Source organism: Homo sapiens, chromosome 10 (genome assembly GCF_000001405.40).
Source record: "Homo sapiens chromosome 10, GRCh38.p14 Primary Assembly".
In the NCBI taxonomy this organism is placed as follows: Eukaryota; Metazoa; Chordata; class Mammalia; order Primates; family Hominidae; genus Homo; species Homo sapiens.
The window spans coordinates 111996890-112014067 of NC_000010.11; the positions used below are offsets into that span (position 1 = coordinate 111996890).

Below are 17178 nucleotides of genomic sequence, written 5' to 3' on the forward strand. Positions count from 1 at the left end.
TTCCTTATCCATAAAATGAGGACAATACTACCTCCCTGTAACAGGTGTTGTTAATGTTCTCTCATTTCCACCCCCCTTCCCATAGGCACAGCTGAGTTTCCAGCTGAAGCTGACAGCTTCCCACCTCAAGTACATCTTCCTGTCTCTTGCTTCTCTTCTGGAGGACGTTCTCCAGCATCATAAGAGCCTGCTCAGCCAGAGGCAGAGGCAATCCCCAAGTGCCAGAGGGTTGTCCAATGTAGAAGCCCCAACCTCCCCAGGCTCTGGTCGAGCAATTCTTTTTTTTTAAGATGAAGTCTCACTGTGTTGCCCAGGCTGGTCTCAAACTCTTGGGCTCAAGTGAAAGCCTCTCAGGTAGCTGTGATTACAGGCACTGCGCCACAATGCCCAGCTGGTTGGGCGATTTCAATGTCTGTTGTCAGCAGGATTGAGGTTTATTAAGACACCCTTTATTGGCTTTTCTACATGTCTCACTTTCACTTACATAAACTCAACTGTGCTTCCCAAATGGATGGTCTGCACACAAGTTCTTGTCTGGGAGTCTTTTTTGGGAGTGTTATGGGCTGGACTGTGTCCTCCCAAAATTCATATATTGAATCCTAACTCCCAACAGCTCTAAATGTGACTCTATTTGGAGATAGGACTTTTAAAGTGATTAAGTGAAAATGACATCCTTAGGGGTCCCTAATCCAATATGACTGATATCCTCCTAAGAGGAAATATGGACACACAGAGAGACGCCAGGGGTGTGCACATACATAGGAATGGCCAAGTGAGGTCACAGCAGACGGTGGCTACCAGCAAGCCAAGAGAAAGGATTCAGGAAAATCCAAACCTGTCAACACTTTCATCTTGGACTTGTAGCCTTCAGAACTTAAGAAAACGCACTGCTATTGTTTAACCCACCCAGTCTGTGCACTTTGTTGTGACAGCCCTGGCAAACTAATGAAGAGGAAAGGTAAAATAAGTCACCACCTCTTGAAGTTATTATGAGGAATAAATAAGACATTGTGTCTAAAGTACCTGGCAGGTGCCTGGAGAAACTCAATACCTGTCCTTTAGGGCTATTGTTACTGTTAGTACTAATAGTAGCAACAATAATAGCAGTGGTATCACCATTATTTGTACAATAATAATTGCTCTGCTACAATTCTTCAAATGGTAGTTGTGAAGAACAAAGAAGAAATTAGATGTGAAAAGATGTTAAATGTTTAACATCCACTCACTCATTCAACTAACTTATTAGCACCAACCATGTCCCAGGCAAGAACTACACAGCGTTGCATTTTTCAGTACAATAGACACTAGTCACATGTGGCTCTTGAGATTTAAATTTAAAGTATTAAAAATACAATAATATATAAAATCTAGTTCCTCAGTCATATTGACCACCTTTTATGTAGTTCTTTAATGTTCAAGAGCTCCAATGTACATGGTAGCTACTAGGCTGAGGCAGGGGAATCGCTTGAACACGGGAGACAGAGGTTGCAGTGAGCCGAGATCGTTCCACTGCACTCAGCCTGGTGACAGAGTAAGACTTCATCTCAAAAAAAAAAAAAAAAGAAAAAAGAAAAAAAAAAAGAAAAAGAAAGTTCTATTGAACAACTGTTGTAAGGAAGAAAAAAATAAATTTCTCCTCTCAATCACTCTTAACCAATTACAAATGCAATCTGATGATGATAATATTTCTGGAAAATGTACTCAAAAGTCCATGGCCTGGGAGATTAGTCTTTGTTTCTGAAGGACAGAGGATAGTATAGTGATTTCAGACATCCGAGCTCTGAGAATAAGCAGTTGCTATTCAAATCACTGCCAATAACAGCAAGGATATTCTTTCATTCATATAACATGATCGAATGCCTACTCTGTGAAAGTCATAAAACTGGGTGCAGTGGGGCACACAAGAATGGAAAAGCAGCAGGTCCCGTCCTTAAGAAGCTTCCCGTTTAGCTGGAGAGATAATCGACATACACAGGTAACAACAGATATAGAGGACTGAAAGTAGCATTACATGAGAAGCAATCATCCTAACAGCAGCTAGCGTGGATTAAGCACTTAGCACGTGCTGGTGTGACGTTAAGAGCTTCACAGACATGCTCTTGTTGAAGCTTAATAATCAACCTAGTAGGTTATCAGCTGGAATCATTTTCATTTTACAGAGGAAAATACAACAAAATGCTGAAAATGATCATGCTATTTTGTATTCTTTCATGAGATGGTCAGTCAGGTGCAGCCACAAGGAAAGAGGCTCAAGAAAACAAAGTATATTATACCCACGGGTCCTACAGACAGAAGGCCTCTGGCAGACCATGCAGGACCACATGGGAAAGCACCTGCATGGTCAGGAGGCAGAAGAAGGGAGCCAGGGGAAGGTGGAGGCCAGAGCCTTCAGTGGGGTTTCCCCAGGAAAGAAAACGAAAGGCAGGCAAAATAGTTTGGGATTGGCTACTTTGAATAATTTGGGACACTCTACAGAGTTGATTCCTAGCTGCCTGGGCCCTGGCCCTGGGATGTCTGAGGCAGATGAATGTTGCCTCCTAGGGTGCATGGGTCAGACAGGGGAGGCCTGGCTCTGGATTGATTAGTTTGCATATCAAAGGCATGCTTCTGGCTGAGCCCTTTGTTGCCTCTAAGAGTTGACTAGTCCTAGGAGGGGCAGTCTCTTCTCAGCCAGAAATGTTTGTTTTTAAGAAGTCAAAATATCACAAAATGCCCAAATAAATATATACCTACATATACACTTACAGTATATACATGCATGTGCACGCACACACACACACACACACACACACACACACAAGCACTGCACATGCTCAGGGTCACATTGTTTAAAAGAAGTAAACCCAGACAGCCACATCCAGGGCATGTGCTCTCATAGTTGGGTGGTATGGCTCAGTGTCGAATGTGAATGAGGCTGAAATAATAGAAAGACCCACTTGGAAAGATAAAAGTGAACGTGCCCCTCCTACACACTTGTTTTAGTTTGGGTTCCCTCCCAAGCAGAGCAAAAGCCACCAAGAAAGGTAGAGTGTTCTATGTAGCAGATAATCTCAGGAAGCAGGAATGAGGGAGGAGGGAGAATGAAACAGGGAAGAAGGAAAAGCAAACATCAGGGTGTGTTACCGGGGTTGCTGCTGTGAGCAACAGGAAATCACTTCTACACATACAGGATGCCTGCCACAGTTGTCCACCTAAAAGACAAGAGACTTTATCCACCAGTGTGTATTCACCAGCTGCCAGCCTCACTGGCTGAGGGTTGCCCAGCGTGTTAATGTCACCCCATCTCTAGTCTGCAATGCACAGCTGAGCAAATTCCTGTGACCTCCAAGAGGACCCTGGGGCAGAGGGCTGGAAGACTCACCTTGCAGCCTTGCATATCTGAGGTGGGTAGCTAGCAACACGAGGTGAGTCCATGGAAGCTGCAGCTGATTCAGAGGTAAATGAAGGGATGTGGCACGTGCAGGCATCAGAGGCATCTGCTATGTCACTCAGATTTCTCCCCTGTGGACTCTTTCCATTGAATTTTACCAAGGACAGATTTGTGACCTAGGCACTAGGGATGCCCTGTCCAAAACAAGACACCAGCTGTGTCCTCATGGAGCTTACAGTCCAGTGGAAATTCATTTGGGACCAGTTTTCAAATAGGTATCTTCCCAGCGTCCACCAAAGGGGCTGACCTCTATCCTGGAGAACCACCCACTGTTGCACAAGCCACTGAGCTCCTTTTCTGGTCACACTACTTACTGCTTTCCTAGGAACTGGCTGTTTCCCAACAGTTACTAAGCATTTTCCTCCTAAACTTTAGTTGGCAGAATTTTATTACTTTAAATAACCTCATTCCAGCAACCAGAAAACCTCATGTGCTTCTCTGTCAGGCCCAGAGCATTACTCAGGAAGAAATGAACATGAGGGAGAGAAGGGAAAACACACAGAAGCAATATCGTTAGGATTTGTCTGTTCCAGAGCCAGGCTGCCCACATTGCCATTTCATCTTCATGCATATTTACTCAAGGCCCTTCAGTTCTACTTTGAGTCCCAAAGTTTGACATTTTCTTAAGGAAAGAAAGATGAGAAAATCCACTTTATTAAAATCTAAGATTTTCACTTAAAGTTTGGTAACTTCTTTATATCACTGAACTCCAGGGGTAGATTTCTCATGTAAAATAATAAAAGTTTTTTAAATGCCTCCACACAAAGCATAGCAATATTAAAGCACTAAATTAGAGTCCAACTTTTTCTGAGACTGAGCAACTTTAAAAATCTATTTGCAAAGGGGGCTGTGATTTGAAGCACTTTGCAGAAGGCAATTAGTGATCACCGAAATACAAGGAGGCATGATGTGGAGTGTCCTTCAATGATCTTATTATGAAAAAAGACATGTCCACACTGGGGAATTTCTGATCTTCATTATATTGATTTCCACCATTCCCACATCATTAGCCTGGTTAAATAAATAATTCAGAAATTTGTGCTATAGAGTCAAAGGTGTGGAGTAGCTCTATATCCAATCAGCTTGTCTGAGTCCATTGTTGAGACTCAACCTGAGATATTACCTTGCAGCATAGGCTATGAACATTCATCAAAACGGGAGGTGATGGAGAGAGTGAATGGATCCATGGAGCCAGTCTGAAATATTGCAAACACTTAGGATATCAGGTTGGGAGCATAGAAGCTTGTCACCTTCACAGGCGTGAAGATAGAGTTGAGTTAGATCTATCTGGGTGTGATCCTTTGACAACTTGTCATTAAGTCTGAAAATCTCCAACCACAAGTCAAAGACAATCCTGTGCCACAAGACAAAGCTGTTAGAAAACCTAGATATGGCCAGGTGTGGTGGCTCATGCCTGTAATCCCAGCACTTTGGGAGGCAAAGGTTGGTGGATCGCGAGGTCAGGAGTTTGAGACCAGCCTGGATAACATGGTGAAACCCCATGTTTACCAAAAACACAAAAATTAGTGTGCTGTGTTGGCGGGTTCCTGTAATCCCAGCTAATCAGGAGGCTGAGGCAGGAGAATCACTTGAAACCGGAAGGCAGAGGTTGCAGTGAGCCAAGATGGCGCCACTGCATTCCAGCCTGGGCAACAAGAGTGAAACTCCGTCTCAAAAAAAAAGAAAGAAAGAAAAAAGAAAAAAAAGAAAGAACACCCATATTCACATCTACAAGAGCTGCCTAATTCCTTTGTTAGTGGATATTGTTGACATCACCTTTTGATAGCTTTTGAAAGAACATTCCAGTCTTCTTTTCCATTATTGAAACTGTCTTGCAAAAGTTATAGTAGTAAGAGAAATCTGACATAACTGACTCCATCTGGCTTCTACTGGGCTAAATTGCCTTTGCTTATTCTTGTGCAAAGCCATAATAGTCCTTTCCTTGAATTAATTCCCTCCTTGTTCAAAAATTGAAACTGTATTTGTAAAGACTAACAAAAGATCACAAGGCTGGAATTACGGTAGGGGCATGAACTTTGCTAAAGAATAAGCATAGTTAAACAATAACCTACCATGCTTAGCTTGCTTCTCTATAAGTGGTTGACTGCCCCAGAGTCACATAACCAGAGGTCACAGGATTTACAACTTCCCCAACTACTGGGCTTTGAGATATTTTTCAGATGTAACATTTTGGCAGATCAAGACATGCCACCCGGTCCTGCGACCCCCTCCTGGAAACTGACTAAGCCTGTGATTTCATCTACAGCCAATCAATTATCTGTCTAAGCCTGTGATTTCATCTGCAGCCAATCAATTCTTTCAGTTCCCCAGTCCCCCCTTGCCACCCCAAGTATTTTTAAAAACCCTAGCCTCTGAATTCTTGGGGAGGCAAATTTGAGAAATGTCTTCAATCTTCCTGCTTGGCTGGCCCTTCAATAATTAAATTCTTTCTTTGCTGCACCGCCTGCTATTCTCAGTGCATTAATTTTTTTCAGGGCAATGGGCAAGAACCTTTATGTCTCCCTTGAAATCCGCCCTCATGCGATTTTTTTCTAATCATCAAGTCATTTCCTATGGCAGAAAAACTACTCCTGAGAAATACCATAAAATATCAGTAAATCTGTATGCTCCTGACTATTCCTGTGAGATATTTCTCCCCTAAGGCTAAGGGTGTGAAGATTTGGACAAACTTTGAGTAAATAGTATTGCAAATGCAATAAGATAAGAAAAAGAAGTGCAATATAAGAATTAGAAAGGAAGATAAAAATTATCATTTTTTGCAGATAATACAATTTAACTGAAAGATCTAAAAAGATTTTAGGATTCATAAGCACTTTCAGCAAAGTGATCCAAAGTGAGATCAGCACTCAAAAATCAATACAGGCCAGGTGCAGTGGCTCACACCTGTAACACCAGCACTTTGGGAGGCCAAGGCGGGAAGAACGCTTGAGGCCAGGAGTTTGAGACCAGCCTGGGCAACATAAAAAGATCCCATCTCTACAACAAATAAAATAATTTTATTTAAAAAATATACAAATAAAGTAAAAAAACAATAGCTTTTCCTATACACCAAAGACAATGCATTATAAAATATAACAGAATAACAGATTCTTGTTCATAATAGAAATTATGAAACTAGCTAAGAATACAGCTCACAAAAATTTCTAAGACTTTAATGAAGAAAATAATATTTTAGCAAACAGTATAAAAGAAAACTTACCTAAAGGACCAGCAATACCAGTGAAAAGGCATTTGTCTTGGAGAAAAACAAGTACCTATGTATAACAATTCATGTTTTATAATGCTCACTATATAAAGAAAAATAAAAACAACCTAAGTCTCCATTAGTAAAAGATTAATTAAATGAAATGTAGCATAATGATACTACAAACTTCTATCATGTAGCAGGTAAAAAGATTGAGTGCCAACATGGTAAGGTATATAACTAAGGAGAAAAAAAAAGCTACAAACAATAAATGCAGAATAATATTATTTATTAGATAAAATATGCATAAAACACAAAGGCACATTTTTCTTTCTATGTGTGTATGTGTATGTATACATTTAAATAAATAAAAGCATCTGGATAAATGCTAATGTGATAACAGCAATGACCTTCAGAGAGAGAAGTCATACTTTTTTCTGTTTGCTTGAATACTTTTATACATATATGAGGTTGGTGCAAAAGTAATTGCTCTTTTTGCCATTGAAAGTAATGGCAAAAATCACAATTACTTTTGTACCGATGCAATATATGAGGACTGTATGCATTCATTACTTAATTACTTAATGCAGTACATTATTACTTACAAATAATGTGTTAACTAAAGGAAAAAGCAGAAGACGAAAGACAAAGTGCAGCTTTGGACCTCTCGAGTGTCCTCTCAGTCTTCCCCTTCCTTCCTTCTCCTTGTCAGTCCTCCACCTGGGCTGAAACAGGGAATGGATGGAATGCAGCACCAGGCAGCATGCTGGTTCTGGTTCCTGAATGGCTGCTGGAGTCAAGTGGACAAAAGCCAAAGGTGTGAAGAGGTGGCTGCTGGTAACTGAACTTTGACCAAAGGAAAATGGGAGCCAGAGAGGACTGGGAGAAAATTTCCCTGCGAGGCCAGAATCGTTCATGTAAATTCCCACCTCCAGACAGGTGTTCAGTAGCATTTTCCCTTTTTGGAGTGGCCCCCTCCCCATGCAGGTATCAACACACAGACACTTCCTGAGCACTTATTATGTGCAAAACATCCTGTGAGGGGCCCTGGGGGATCCAAAGAAGATCTGAGCCACAGGCCTCGTCCTCATGGCATCTGCCGCTATCTTTGTCATCCCGTTGGAGACAGCAGAGAGAGGAAAGTCCAGCAAAGCAAGAGTTAACCCAGGCATAGGATCAGGAAACAGGAGAAGCAATGAAGCAAAGGAACACCAAGTGCTTATCCACCTTCTCAGGGCTAGATCACAGGGCCTGAACTCCTCCTGCCTGTTATAAGATCCCCGTAATCCATATTTCCTTTTTCAATAATAAGAAGCAACATTTTCTAACGCCAGGCACAGTGCTCTGCAGTTTGTTTGCATTATCTCGCTTAATCTTCACAACAGACCTATCACGTGGGTGCAATTAGATTCCCATGTCATAAATAAGGCAACTGAGGCAAGCACAGCTACATTACCTACCCGAGGTCACAAAGCCTCATAAGCTTCGTAAGTATGAGTCCACTGTTCACTTATAAAATGAGGGTAAAGAGAAACTATCAGAGTCTCAGAGAAACCAAGAGGGGAGCAGTCCAAGAGAGACTTACAATGGCAAAGAAAAAACGTCCCTGGGAAATTACTGCTGGTCCTGGAAAAAAAAAAAAAAAAAGACCCTATGAGCCAAAGACTTGTGATTTGCAGTTATTAAAACTGTCCAGCTGCCATAGCAACAAGTGCAGCAAGCACACAGGCTCTCTCCTAAGACAGAATATTTTATGATTGTATTACGGATACATACTCAGTGCATTATGTCAATAATGACAGGGGTTTTGCTGTCTTCCTGAGAAAGAATGTCTCCTTTTCCCCATGTTCTTTAAGTGCGCAATTCCCATTTGTTCCTCCCTGGTGGGGGATGCCAGGAGGAGAAAGGACAGGGAGGAGAATGGGGTACAAGTTGGTAAGATTCTGGGGAACTTTTTGGTCTAGAGTTTGAAGTTTCTACATCAACAAAGCTCAGAATTAAAGAATATTTTCTCTCCATGGTCTTCTCTCCCTTCCTGTTTGCCTTTCCTCTGTGACACTCCTCTGCGACCACCATCAGAAGCACCTTTCTTTGCCAAGTGACCACTGCAGGGTGGGCTGTGATAGTGTAATTTACTGAGCCCTGGGAGAGCGCATGATATTGGAAGGGGGAAGTGAGGAGAAAGGGGAGCTGCCTAGAGTTAGAGTCTCTAAAATTCCATCTTGCAGCACCAACAGAAAAGTAGCATCCTCAAAGGCAATTAGCTCAAAAATTTGGCTTTATTACGGATCACTGGGATTCTGGATCTGAGCACCTAAATGAGAAATAGCCCATGGAATGGAAAACAGTTAAAAGTTGTTATCTGGTCTAAAATTGGGGATGGAGAGAAAGAACTGGAATTGGGTATCAAATGATGGGAGAAGAACAACGCACACTGGCCTGGAAGGGGCAAGGCTTGGTGGCAGCCAATGGGGAGCCAAAGGTCAACTCAGATTGAAGCTTGTGGATCAGGCCAAGCCATCAGCATGGGGAGCATGTTTTCCAGGGAACTTTGCACTGGGGGTCATGAACAAATCCACATAAGGTGAGGAGGCTGAGCCTCAGCAACCAGGGCCACCTTGGCCAATCAGGGTTCACTTCAGTCTTGCCAGGAGAAGACCTAGGAGAAGTATCAGTGTGTCTTCAAGCCTGGTTAGAATAAGCACAAGTCAAGAGAAATGCATTTGCCCCATGGTGGTCTCCTGCTATTTTTTCCAGCCCAGGATCCTCTCTCTCTTTAACTGGTAACACACCATGATGTATTTTCAGGACAACCAGCAATTTCCCAGGGATTTTTTTCTTTGCCATTGTAAGTGTCTCTTCGCTGCTTCCCTCTTGGTTTCCCTGAAACTCTGATAGTCTCTCCTTATCCTCATTTGTGTAAGTAAGCAGTGGACTCATACTTACTAAGCTTGTGAGACTTTGTGACCTTGGGTAGGTGACCTAACCATGCTTGTTTCAGTTGCCTTATTGATGACCTGGGAAACATAACTGCACTCACATGACAGGTCTGTTATGAAGGTCTGCTGTGATATGCACATGCACACATGTGCACACACACACAGCTCATTTAGTTGAGATAAGCCTGGCCTCATTGTCAGCTCCATCCCTGGTTAACCAATGACACACTAATTTCCCTCAGCCGCAGGAACCGCAGTGTTCAGAAATGTGCATGGGATGGATATCTCCCATCTGATCCACTCTCTCACTCTGCTCTATGCCCAAAAAGTTGACCAGTGCAGGCTTCATCAGTGAGCTCCCTTACCTTCTGGCTTCCAGTTAAGAGTCTGCCGTTGGCAAACACTAGCAAAAGAGCAGAGGGAGGAAGGAGGTCGAGTAAGCTATGTATTCACCGTGGGTAAATGCAGCCCTCAAAGGAAGGTTGCAGTCCATCAGACAGTCCTGGCCACACAGCTCTTTCTGTTTCCGTGCCTAGGAATAATAATAGAATCCCAGTGTTACAGCCTCAGGGTGCCTCCGTTCTCTGTGGTTTCTCTGCACACTGCCTACGTATTTGAGAACAGTCCCTAATTAAAGTCTCCTCAAAGCATCCAATTTCAGTGAACTATTTCCTGTTAGGGTCCTGACTGATATAGAGTATGTGACACAAGCTGAGATAATTAAAGCCAACCCAAGATTTCGGGAAAGAGAAGCTCTCTTTCTGCAGAAGTTATAATGCAAACTGAAGCCAGCATGGAGAATGCTGCCTGAGAATGAAGCCAAATTGAGGAGAGCCAAGCGGTAGGGAGAAGAGGAAAGAGACCCGTTCCTCACACCGTTCTTTGAGCACATGGATCAAGTCATACATGAAGACTCTCCACTCCCTGGACTTGTAGTTACACAAGCCAATAAATCCCCATTATTGCTTAAGCCACTTTAAGTGCCTTCCTTCACTGGCAAATAAGTAGTCATGACATCCCTTGTTCTCATGTCCATCGTGCAGGCTGATCTGAACAGAGGGGCACACTTATGCTCAACACATGATAAGTGTCTGGACTCGTATTTAGACATCCTTAGAGAGGCATAAATGGGAAAGGAGGGCAGAGAGGTGAAAGCTATAAGCACCCTGCGATTCCTGGAAACAAGAGTCCAAATGTCAGTGCCTTGTAGGATTCAATCACTTTACATTACAGAAGAGGTAACTGAGGTCTAGAGGAATGAAATGACAGAGCTAGGACTAGAAGTGGGGCTTACGCCACCCAGAGCCACGTAGAATGGAAACTGTTTTCCTCTGACCCCAATTGCAAAACGTGAAAAACTCACATAAGAAAGTTATTTGTGCTTGGGAGCCACCAAGAGAGTTCAGCCTTTTGCCTTGAGATTTCTTATAAAAGCCTGATTTTTCAGAGACAAGCTGGCCCCAATGTCCTGAGTTGGAAGCACCAGGGGAAGAGCTGTGCAAAGTATCAAACCTATGGCTTGCAGTCTGCAGGGGGCTTTCAAGAAGCTGGGAGTGTGTCAGGAGATAAAAACAAGCTCAGTCTTATTTCATCTTTTTTTTTTTTTTTTTTTTTTTGAGACGCAGTCTCGCTCTGTCGCCCAGGCTGGAGAGCAGTGACGCGATCTCCGCTCACTACAAGCTCCGTCTCCCGGGTTCACGCCATTCTCCTGCCTCAGCCTCCCGAGTAGCTGGGACTACAGGCATGCGCCACCATGCCTGGCTAATTTTTTGTATTTTTAGTAGAGATGGGGTTTCATCGTGCTAGCCAGGATGGTCTCGATCTCCTGACCTCATGATCCTCCCGCCTCAGCCTCCCAAAGTGCTGGGATTACAGGCGTGAGCCACCGCGCCCGGCAGCCTTATTTCACCTTGATGGCTATAACATTGTCCCTTCCTACAAACAGCTCAAAGAAGGAGGGAAAAAGGTTTAGTTGTTTGCTTTCGTTTTTACCAACTGGACATAGCAAAATAAATAAGACCTACTTGTTAAGGTAAAATATTTAAGATTATACAAAGATGAAGATGAAATTTCTCAAAGTCTTTAGTCCTTTCTTCCGTACATGTATACATATATACATGTATAAATATGTATAAATACATGGGAACAAATCAAAGGAAGCATTCACAAATTCAATCTTATCTTTAGGAAAGAATCCCAGCAAACTTGGAATCGAATCAGTCTTCTTAGATCTGATAATGCTAATTTCCCAAAATCCTGTATCAACTATCATTACTTAATAGTGATATTTTAAAAGCATTTGCATTAAAGTTAGGAAACAGGAAAGGATGTCCATTCTTATAGCTTCTATTTCACATTGTTTTGCAGAACCTAACTAAAATAATAAAACAAAAAATGGAAAGGGAAGTGTAAGGATTGTAAAGAAATATCATAATCTAAAGTCAACATGATCATCCCAAAAGGAAACCCAAGAGAAAAATGACAAAATTATTAGAATAATGAGAGAGTAGTCTCTTATGCCAGCAATAATCAAATTAAAATAGAAAACAAGATAACTATACAAGTGTGAATATTACCCAATGCTCCCTTTTACTTGATCTCAGGACCTAGATATAATATTTAATTTTTCTGATCCCCAGTTCCCTCATCTTTAAAAAAGTTTTTAAAATATTGAGCTCACGTATTTATGAGTTAATTTACTTACATCCATATAGCCCCTAGCATGAAATCTGGAATTTAGTAAGTACTCAACAAAGATTCCTTCTTGAGGGATTATTGGCTATATGGCTGTTTATTATATGTAATAAGAGCTAAGTGTAGGGATTTAACCATTGAAGAAAACATTTTGTTCAATCATCAAAAAAGCTAGTCACCTTATCCCTGTTTGCAACCACAAACCCAGTTGCTACCAAGAAAGGAGAAAGAGTTGTAAATCTTTTGGAACTTAGTCCTTTGGTAAAGGAAGTAAAGAGTGAAGGCCTCCAAATTCTCTACTGTCAGTTACTCTGAGGGTAACAAAACTTCTCTTGTAATGGTCTTGCCTATTAACCAAGAAAGGTACATGTTTTTGCTCTCTATATGTGGCCCACAGTGTTTGAAGTCCTGCACAGGCCCTAACAACTAGAGATTTTTGAGTCTGAAATGTTTGAGGTCTGGAAAAAAATTAGCTTTAATATATACAAGAAAACTGTGAAATTGAATTTAATAAATATGTAAATAAATGTCTACAAAATCTAACATTATGCAAACTTTTTAAATAAGCATATTTAATTTTATTTAAAAATTGACACTTAATTTTAGAAACAACTTATTGGTTAGATTTTTCTCATTGTATGAGTATGAACACATACTCAGGAATTCTTGCAATGATTGTTGCTAAATTGTAAACAGTAGTAAGTTACATTATAGGAAGCCAAATTATTTAAAAGCAAAAATATTAGAAGTTCTTTCAAACAATTATTAACAGAATGTGATATTTAATGTAAGACATGATGCTTTTTAATCCGTCTCATAATATATAAGGATAACTGTAAAATGGAGAGTTGCCTAGGTTTATGAGTGTTCAAACAGCAGCACACATTTCTTAAACTGAAAGATGTGTTGAAAAGATTTGAAATCATGCCGGGCACGGTGGCTCACGCCTGTAATCCCAGCACTTTGGGAGGCTGAGGCGGGCGGATCACCTAGGTCAGGAGTTCGAGACCTGCCTGACCAATATGCTGAAACCTCATCTCTGCTAAAAATACAAAAATTAGCCAGTCATGGTGGTGCGTACCTGTAATCCCAGCTCGGGAGGCTGAGGTAGGAGAATCACTTGAACCCGGGAGGCAGAGATTGCAGTGAGCCGACATCATGCCACTGCACTTCAGCCTGGGCAACAAAGTGAGACTCTGTCTCAAAAAACAAAACAAAACAAAACAAAAAACAAAAAAAGATAGAAATCAAAGAGTATTTTAGAAAATCATGGGCAGAAGGCCCAATATATATATGAAGCAGGAAAATTATAGCCATAGACCTAAGCCTCTATACCTTTACTCAGGAAAGACTTATATTGTCAACTACATCAGTTCCTGTGGCTTGAATTACTTCATAAGCAAATATAAAATATTTTTATATTATATATATAAAATGATAAAATATTTTTATATTGTATATATAAAATGTCCATCCTGTCAAGTAAGACAATAAAACTCTCAAAGTCACGATTCATAATCACTGTCTCTTTTTTCATCTCATCTTAAGATATGCAGCAATCACTCAGTATCTACATTTAAAACTGAAGATTAAAAGAAGCAAGCACCTTCAGAAACATTTTTTAAAAAAAAGATTCTTCCAAGTTTGTTACTAACAACAAATGAAAAGAAGCTGAAACTTTGAATTGTAAAATGCTGCTGGGAAATTACATTTTCACGAACATCTATTGTTCCTTTGTTCCTTGCCTGAAAATATGTTTCTCACTGGGATATTAGCATATAACAAATAAACCCGAAAGTACCTTATTTTCCTGCCCATATGCAGTACTTAACTCTGGTTGATTTCTTAGCTAAAATTACTTACAGGAAGAAAATTGCCTAAGTGTCTTTGATTACTATGGAATATTTGAGTCCTCATCAAGCCATACCAAACATTTTACACACACACATACACACAAAAAACGCCTTGAACGGCATTGTATTTAAATATGATGATGTTTTTGATAGGGATAACAAGAATTATTATTACCTATGTGAATTCCCACCTAAGGATTAACCTTGCTCTATGGATTTCATAACTATGGCATTATAGCTGTGCTTTTCATAATGAAGGGAAAAATTCAGCATCAAATAAGAAATTTGCCATGGTTCACGTACTCCCCCACATCTGTGAGAGAAGGATATTCAACTATTCCAGCTACAAATTTCTAAGCATTTTGTTTCCTAAAGGGGAATTTACCTGAGCTCCTATAGGGAAGAGATTCATGCTCACAAACTTAAGTCATAATGCCCCGAACCACAGTCACAATTTTAACAGCATTTATTGTATTTATTTATTTTTGCTAATTCTTCTTCATGAAAAGAAGTTGAGAATAGTCTCAGACTTCTGCTAGAGAACAGGAAAGAACCAACTGTACCAGATGTAGCTCCATTCACCCTCCCCTGACACTGACCCCCTCCCACCCCCCACCAAATAACAGTCTCCCAGTCAGAATGGGAATTGTCACAAAAGATGGATAACTGGAGTACAATTAACTGCGAGATTTGAGTCTTTTAAAGAACCTGGACCAAAGAGAGAGAAATTTGTTCTCTTAGCTAAATTATTCCTTCTGAACTCATTCTTCCCAATACCTTTTGCTCATTAGCTTAAATGAACTCAATGATCTCCCAGCCCAACCAGACTGCTGGGAGTCTGTGATTCAAAGCCCTCACCTGAGCTCAGAGGTCTCCAATCTATTCATCACCACGGAGATTTCCCATTCTCCTCTACCTTGCCCACTCACCAAGTTTTCAAAGGTTGTGTTCATTAAAGAAGCAGCACTGATTATGTCCAATTAATTAATTTTTCTACTTCAAATTAAGTAGACACAGATAACCACCAAGCAGCGTGGTTGAGCAGCATGAAAGATCCAGGATTACCACAATACCACCCTAGCTGCTTCTGAGGTTCCTATACATGATGTTTTAGGGTGGCGAAATATAGGACTTTCACTAGATTTTCTGAAATATAGAGAATAACTTAAGAAATCTGAGTTTGGGAGCACTGCCTCTGAGCCCCCATACAAGACTATCCTTGGGCGAATCCATCCTATAGGACTCATGTGAGCATTACCCCCGTTTTGAGAGCCCCCAGCTAAATTGGGGCACCTGCACTGGAGCAGCCAACAACCCTTTCCTAAAAGGAAATGAATAGAGCTGGATGTGAGTGTTGCAGTGTGCCTTTCACAAAATATTCCCTTACCTAGTGGACAGCCTAATGTCTGGTTGTCTGAACTGCAACCAGGTAGTCCCTCACAGAGGAAACTTGTTTATACTGGCAGATGCCTTTGTGGCTCTTGTCTGACCTGTGTCCAGTTTATTCCTGCCTGACAATTGCTCTGATGCTGGGAGCCCAGCTTTGTGTTTTCCTCAGCATCCCAGGGATGACCTGGCCTGGGGCAGCCCCCCAGTCTTCAGACGAAAGGTACGAATTCAATACACCACCTCAACAGGAAACATGTGTAGAGATTTTTACTTACAGATCCTGGACAGAGGGGGTGTCGTGAGTCCTCAGGTCACAAAGCAGGAAGGAAGAGTCAGGAAGAGAGAAGGGGCGTGTGTGGTAACTAGTTGCACATCTAAGGGAGTAGGGTGTGGGTCACTTTAAGTTCATGGGCAAATGTCTGCATGGTCCTTTTAAGTGGAGTTGTAGAAAAGCAGGGAGCCCATCGGCTAGGCCAGAGAGATGCCTCTAAGTTCTTATCTTTCGCCACCAGCTTGAGCCACCTGGATGTGGTTCAAAACTGGAAACTGTGTCCAGGGTGACTGAGCCCTGCTTCTGGTACAAGAAAGTTAAACCTGTATTCAAGATGGATGCTGAAGCAACATAAAATGATAAGAATTCACTAAATCTCCACCTCCCTTAGAGTGGGTGTCCTGGCTAAACTGCATAGATATATCTATTTCAAGATGTTGCTGTATATTAAGCATGGTACTGGATGCTTTACAAACACGACCTGAAAAAGTCGTCATAGTAAGTAACTCTATGAAGTAGGTATTCAATCATTCATCCAACCACTAATTCAGCAAAACTCTGTATAAGGCTTACAATGTACAAAGTACAGTCTAGGCTGGTAGGTCTACAGCACTGGAAAAGACCCATGAAATACTTCCCTCCAGGAGTGTACACTCCAGCCTGGAGATGCAGATGACAAGTGAAGAAACAATTGTGCAAGGAAATAAATAGGATAACCTAATAAAGAATGAAGAGACACACTACTTAGATAACATGCTCAGAGATGTTCTCACTGAGGCCCTAACACCTGGTCCAAGACCTTACGGTCCTACACCTACTTTGCCAAGGGAAAAACGGAGGCTCACAGAGGTTGAGTAAAGAGCCTGACATCACAGTTAGTGACACCAAGCCAGATTCTAACCTAGAGTTGTCAATCTCCAAGCCTGTTGACTTTTCACTACAACAATTGCCTCCCAAGAGGGACCTGATAAACATCAAATTCTGCTCTATATTACAGGCTATTGTAGCAGAGGTTTCAGTCTAGCTAGGCTGTACAGAGAGGAGAATGTTGACAAAAAGAGAGATGATAACAAGGAGATAAAATTCATAACCATCCTCATGTATATGAGTGGAAAAACATAATGGATCAGCACTTAATTTCTCTTTCTTCATTTTCTTCCTCTATTAATTTTTCATCAAAACCAAAACATTTGATTTTTTCTTCCTTGGGGATTCTGATAAATAGAGTTCTGGTTTATTCCTTAGATGTAATGTATTTTCAGAGCCTGTTTTTAAAGATATGAACGTTACATAAACACAGATGTCCTCATCAAAGTCTAGATCATCACCACCCCCAAATCTTCATAAAGAAGTAGAGGTCCATTTAAAACGCACACAAAGGAAAAAAGTTCTCGTTG

General features: G+C 41.2%; 1 long non-coding RNA gene across 1 annotated transcript, besides 1 other annotated feature; it reads right to left on the minus strand.

Moving 5' to 3' along the window:
* Positions 1833–2347: an enhancer, noted in NCBI's record as "OCT4-NANOG-H3K27ac hESC enhancer chr10:113758480-113758994 (GRCh37/hg19 assembly coordinates)". NCBI's record gives its function as "activates a minimal SCP1, AML or CMV promoter by ChIP-STARR-seq in naive H9 embryonic stem cells {active_cell/tissue: H9 hESC(naive)}" and the evidence as "EXISTENCE:reporter gene assay evidence [ECO:0000049][PMID:30033119]".
* On the minus strand, positions 6427–11156 carry LOC124902501 (uncharacterized). Its single transcript, XR_007062290.1, has 2 exons — positions 10028–11156; positions 6427–7425 (listed from the first exon to the last, which is right to left on the minus strand). It is a non-coding gene; the product is annotated as an uncharacterized LOC124902501 (long non-coding RNA).
* Between the last annotated feature and the right edge of the window lie 6022 nt (positions 11157–17178).